This window comes from Homo sapiens, chromosome 19 (genome assembly GCF_000001405.40).
Source record: "Homo sapiens chromosome 19, GRCh38.p14 Primary Assembly".
NCBI lineage: Eukaryota > Metazoa > Chordata > Mammalia > Primates > Hominidae > Homo > Homo sapiens.
The window spans coordinates 53101194-53107442 of NC_000019.10; the positions used below are offsets into that span (position 1 = coordinate 53101194).

General features: G+C 48.9%; 1 protein-coding gene across 41 annotated transcripts in view, besides 1 other annotated feature; it reads right to left on the reverse strand.

The window, feature by feature from the left end:
• ZNF160 (zinc finger protein 160) overlaps positions 1-2229 on the reverse strand; it is a 36809-nt gene extending 34580 nt beyond the window's left edge. For all 41 annotated transcript variants that reach the window (NM_001322135.2, XM_047439638.1, XM_047439632.1 and 38 more), the window contains exon 1: positions 2072-2229. The gene's annotated coding sequence lies outside the window, so the exon portion shown is untranslated. The remainder of the gene's footprint in view (positions 1-2071) is intronic.
• Positions 2272-2681: a silencer, noted in NCBI's record as "silent region_11003". NCBI's record gives its function as "represses an Ori minimal core promoter by ATAC-STARR-seq in GM12878 lymphoblastoid cells {active_cell/tissue: GM12878}" and the evidence as "EXISTENCE:reporter gene assay evidence [ECO:0000049][PMID:35858748]".

The window sequence follows — 6249 nt, forward strand, 5'->3', positions numbered from 1 at the left end:
CACTTGAACCCAGGAGACAGAGGTTGCAGTGAGCTGAGATCACGCCACTGCCCTCCAGCCTGGGTGAAAGAGCGAGACTGTCTCAAAAATAAATAAATAAATAAATAAAAATGAATAAAGTTACCTACTGACTACCAAAGAGTATTTCCAATATATGATAAAGAGTAGAAAGCATGCAGACCTCAATCTGAACTCAACACAATTAACTTCAAATGGAAACCATTTTGAAAATATATATATTATTTAATATGTATATGATATATTAACTATATATGGAATTCTACAAAGGGAAAAAATTGAAAATATATCACATTTAGAAAAGAATGACATGAGCCAATACAGGATTCCACAAAAGCTTACTTCAGCAATAATTACATATAGAAAAAGAGACTGAATTAGATAAGCTTCATCTCAACCTTCAGCATGAACTGTGAGATGAAAGGTAAATACAAGGCACCAGGCAGTGACACAGCCAGTCACTCCTTGCCTCTCTTCACTGCCCCCACCCTACCCCATCCTCGGAAACAGGAAGAGGGAGACCCATAACTGAATGAGGCAAGTCACTGCCCAATGGCTAAACAGCATGGGCAAATGAAAGCTAGCCTCTTATGCCATAATTGTAAAATGCACAAGCCTTTTACACAGAGCTTTGTAATTCTCATCCTTATATGTAGAATTTAAACAATTAGATTACAATTTAAATGTAACACATTATAAATAGAGAAATCAAATTGTCATATCCAATCTCAACTCACCTCTCACCTGGCCCCAGGGCGCCCCTCTTTCTTTATAACTATGTGTTCCTCTCCCCCATTTTGTGCCTCTCACTTTCACCTTGTCTCTCCAGCCTTTTTCCCCTTTTATCTTCCCCCTAGGATTCTGACGATGTTGTGCCTCTTTTTTCTTCTGCTGTTTCTCCCTTCTTTGTTTTTTCCCCTTATATCTGTTCTACTCCATTCTTCCAATTTGTTTCACCTCTTGTGGCGTTTTCTTTCCAATCTTTTCATCGTCCCAATCTCCATCTATTTCTGCCTCTTTCTTACCCCATCTCCGCGCCTCCTCTGCTCTCCCTGTTAAATCCCCTCTTCCCTGTTACACCCGCTTATCCCCACTCTCTGGCACTCCCAGATCCCAGGCCTCCCTGTGTTGTGGTGCTCCCTCTGCTCGCCTTGTCACCAGCTGTCCCCTCCAGCTGTCCCAGCACCACGCAGCTCTGTCTGCCCTCGGCCAAATCCTTTCTCCTCTCCCCCACTCTCTGTCTGAGGAGGCTCCTTCTTTGCTGTCCCTCTCCTTATCTTGTTGTCCTGCATCTCGGGACATCGAGCTTTTCTCTACATTTCGCCAATTGCTTTTCTGCCCCTGCTACTTTCTTGACTGCTTCTTTCACTCTGTCGCTGCAAATCTCTCACCCATCCTCCACTTTGCCATCTGTTTATGGGTCTCCCTCATTTTTCTTTTCTCTTTCTTGGTTTTTCCATCTCCTCTCAGTGGCTCTTTGTCTCTCTTTCTCCTGATTCCCTTGGGCCACACATTCACTGGAGGGTTTGTAGTAAGATGTCTGCATGTTGGAGGAGTACATTTTCCAGGGGGTGGAGCTGGGCAGGCAAAAACACCGGGTGTCACAGGACGGGCCCCGGGCACCTCCCCAACGAGGGCTCAAGGGAAGCGGTGACTGCGAAGGGGAGGCCTGGGGAGCAGCAGGGCCCGGCACGAGGAGGAGGGAGGTGGGGGGCGACGGCGCCTTAGGACAGGGGTGGGATGTGCAGGATCCCAGGACCAGGCGGAGGCGCGGCCTCCCCGGGACTGGGTCGGCGGCGCTGCGCTCCAGGGGCCGACGAGAGCGAGGCTGGGAGGCGCCCAGGGCAGGCGGTGAGGACTTTAAGCGATGCGGGGCGGGAGGAGGAGTCAGTAAAGGATTTTAAGCAGGAAAATCCTGCTTAAACGTTTAAAAAACCGGGAAAGGCCGTGTTTACTTGGCCCAAGGCAGAAAGACCGGGGGCAGGGACCAGCCTCAGGGCGACTTTAACCCAAAAGGAAGCGTCTCCGGGCCCACACAGCAAGGCCTATTTACCTGAGGTGGAGGGTGCGGTGCGGAGATTTTAAGTCCGTAGCGACCCCCGGGCATCGGGTGTGCGAATGGGGGACGGCGAGGCGCAGGTTGAGTCTACACAGAGGAACACTCATACGCCATGGTGTGATGCTTGCTCCGCACGATCCACTTCCGGGTCTGTGGGCAACTGCGCGAAGGAAAGCGACCGAGCGGCCCGGGGCGGGGTCCGAGATGGGCGGAACCGGAAAAGGGCGGGGCGTTGAGAGAGCCGGGCTGAAGCAGGGGCCGCCAGGCAGGGACCCCAGGGAAGGAACGGGGAGGAGCCACCGGGGAGGGGTGGGGAGTGACCAAGTGGAGGGACCCGGGGGCGGGCCGGGGAGGAGCCGCCGGGGAAGGGCGGGGAGGAACCGCGGGAAGGGACCGCGGGGGAGGAAGGCGAAGGGACCGCGGGGGAGGGAGGCAGAGGGACCGCCAGGAAGGGACCCGGGGGAGAGGCGGGGCTGGACGGGACACGTTAGGGTCTGCGATTTCGTGTGATGCCCACAGCCCAGCGCCCAGAGCCATCTGTAGTGTCTTGTGGAACGGCGTAGATGTTTCAAACGGTTTCAAGTTAAAAGCACAGTTGTGTAGGTTATTTTGGAAACCAAACTGCTTTCCTCTTAGAATGGAGGCGGTTTATGTTGAAAGCATTTTTTGCTAGCGCGTTTACCCAGTAATGTTATTGACGCTGAAGCAGCCCAGGAGTCTGGGAACATGGGTTGACACGGAGCGGTGATGGCATGCTGGAAAAGTTTCTGCGATTAAAATTAAGTAATTTAAAAGCCCTGAAATTAGCAGTAACTTTTAAAAAATAGATATAAATTGCATTGTCCTTTTTTATACTTACTATTCTATTCCGTGCGAGATGACAACCTCAAACGCCTATACTTTTTTTTTTTTTTTTTGAGCCGGAGTCACGCTCTGTCGTCCAGGCTGGGGTGCAGTGGCATGATCTCTGCTCACTGCAACCTCGGCCTCCCGGGTTCAAGCAATGCTCCTGCCTCAGCCTCCCGAGTAGCTAGGATTACAGGCGCCCGCCACCACGTTCTTTAGCGGAGATGAAGTTTCACCATGTTGCCTAGGCTGGTCTCGAATTCCTGACCTCAAGTGATCCACCCGCCTCAGCCTCCCAAAGTGCTGGGATTACAGGCGTGAGCCACCATACCTGGCCCCAGGAACTACTTTCACCTACTGAATATATATTAAGTCCTTTGCCACAAAAAGATAATATACATAATTTATCTCAGAACAATTAAGATATTTACCACTGTAAATGACAAATTCAGACTTAGAGAAGGAAGATTTTATTCAAAAGGACTATTGCAATAGAGAGAATGTTCCAATCACAAGATCTGAAAATGTCCAAGAGACACAAACTAAAAAGCTTTTTTTTCTTTTTTTCATATATGGAGGAGTAAACAAGGCTAGAAAGCACAAGCACAAGTTATGAGGCTGTGGATGAGCACTTGGCATGACTACAGTTATTCAGGGAAAGTTTGTTATGTTATGTTATGTTATGTTAAAAATGTTACATATTTCTTGGAGAGAGTCTTGCTCTGTCACCCAGGCTGGAGTGCAGTGGCGTCATCTCTGCTCACTGCAACTTTTCATCTACCAGGCTCAGGCAATCCTCCCACCTCAATCTCCCCAGTAGCTGGGACTACAAGCACACGTCACCATGCCTAGTTAATTTTTGTACTTTTTGTAGAGACGGGGTTTCGCCATGTTGCTCAGGCTAGACTCGAACTCCTGAGCTCGAGGGATCCCCCACACCTTGGCCTCCCAAAGTGCTGGGATCACAGGCGTGAGCCACCGTGCCCGGTCTATTTATTTTTTGAGAGAGCATCTTGCTCTGTTGCCCAGGCTAGAGTGCAGTGTCAAGACCATAGCTCACTGCAGCCTTCAACTCTGGAATCAAGTGATCCTCCTACCTCAGTCTCCCAAGTGGCTGGGACTACGGGTTTGCACCGCCACACTCCACTAATTTTTTTACTTTTTGCAAAGGCGGATTCTCACTATGTTGCCCAGGCAAGTCTTGAACTTCTAGCCTCAACTGATCCTCCCGCCCTGATCTCCCAAAGTGTTGGGATTACAAATGTGAGCCTGGCTCATCATGGAATTCAAGACCAGTTTGGGCAACATAGCAAGACTCCCATCTCTACAGAAAATTTTTAAAAATTAGCTGGGCATGGTGGCACACACCTGTAGTCCCAGCTACTCAGGAAGATTGCTTGAGCCCAGGAGTTCGAGGCAGCAGTTAGCTATGATCCTGACACTGCACTCCAGTCTGGGCAACAGAGTGAGAACCTGTCTTTCAAAAAAAAAAAAAAAAGCCTACTCTTGGGAGGGGCTGTTGGCTGTTGTTAAGGAAAAGTTGTTCCAAATTACACTGACAAAGAATGGTTCAGAGGGTTGGGCATGGTGGCTCACGCCTGCAATCCTTGCACTTTGGGAAGCTGAGGCGAGTGGATCACATGAGGTCAGGAGTTCGAGACCAGCCTGGTCAACATGGCGAAAACCCATCTCTACTAAAAACAAAAATTAGCCAGGCGTGGTGGTGCACACCTGTAATCCCAGCTACTCAGGAGGCTGAGGCAGGAGAATTGCTTAAACCAGGGAGGCAGAGGCTGCAGTGAGCCGAGATTGTGCCACTGCACTTCAGCTTGGGTGACAGAGCGAGACTCTGTCTCAAATAAATAAATAAGGCTGGGCGCGGTGGTTCACACCTGTAATCCCAGCACTTTGGGAGGTTGAGGCGGGTGGATCACGAGGTCAAGAGATCGAGACCATCCTGACCAACATGGTGAAACCCCGTTTCTACTAAAAACACAAAAATTAGCTGGGTGTGGTGGCCTGTCCCTGTAGTCCCAGCTACTCAGGAGGCTGAGGCAGAATTGCTTGAAACCAGGAGGCAGAGGTTGCAGTGAGATGAGATCGTACCACTGCACTCCAGCCTGGCGACACAGTGAGACTCCATCCTATAAATGAATGAATGAATGAATTAATAAAGTGAATTAGTTATCAAAAACCTCAAAAAAGAAAAGTCTGTAGCTGGGCATGGTGGCTCACACCTGCAATCCCAGCATTTTGGGGGACCGAGGCAGGCAGATCCCTTGAGATCACGAGTTTGAGACCAGCCTGGCCAACATGGTGAAACGTTCTCTACTAAAAATACACAAATTAGCCGAACGTGGTGGTGGGCGCCTGTAATCCCAGCTACCTTGGAGGCTGAGGCAGGAGAATCGCTTGAACCCGGGAGGCGGAGGCTGCAGTGAGCTATTGTGCCACTGCACTCCAGCCTGGGCAACAGAGCAAGACTCCGTCTCGAAAAATAAAAATTAAAAAAAAGAGTGATACAGCTTTCATGGTGTAAAATAACTTTCTTGGGATTTTCATTATATTCACATAAGTATCCTGAGGCAGGGTATGGGCGGGGAGAACAACTCAAGTGCACTCTGTAAGTGTATGTTCCCAACACTCTATTTAATTCCAAGAAAAAAAAAAATGGTTCTATCTTTCAGCCTTAAGAGTCTAATGGTGTGTTGTTATTGTCTGTTACAAAGTAACCTACTGAGGTGGGATAAAACTATGTTGGCAGAGAGAACATGATGCATTCATAGTTATGCAAAAATCAGATTAATTAGCACGAGATCTATGATACATTCTGAATAAAACAGTAGCAAAATGTAATACCAGCAGTAAATGTGAATCCTAATCAATAACATGCTATTGTGGTTCATCTCTGAGGTTGTGGTTTCTATTGTGGTTTCAATCTTGGCTATATAACAGCGATGGCCATTCCATGCAGAAGGTGGCCACCGTTTTCCCCTGAATTATTTCCACCATGTAATCAGTCACTAATAACCCATTACACTCCTCCCACAAATCCCAGTGTCTAAGGTCTTGATCTGCTCTGATTTTTTTTGAGGCACAGTCTCTCTCAGTCACCTAGGCTGGAGTGCAGTGGTGCAATCTCGGCTCACTGCAACCTCCGCCTCCTGGGTTCAAGCGATTCTCCTGCCTCAGTCTCCCAAGTAGCTGGGATTACAGGCGCCCACCACCACGCCCGGCTAATTTTTGTATTTTTAGTAGAGACGGGGTTTCACCATCTTGGCCAGGCTGGTCTTGAACTCCTGACCTCATGATCCACCCACCTCAGC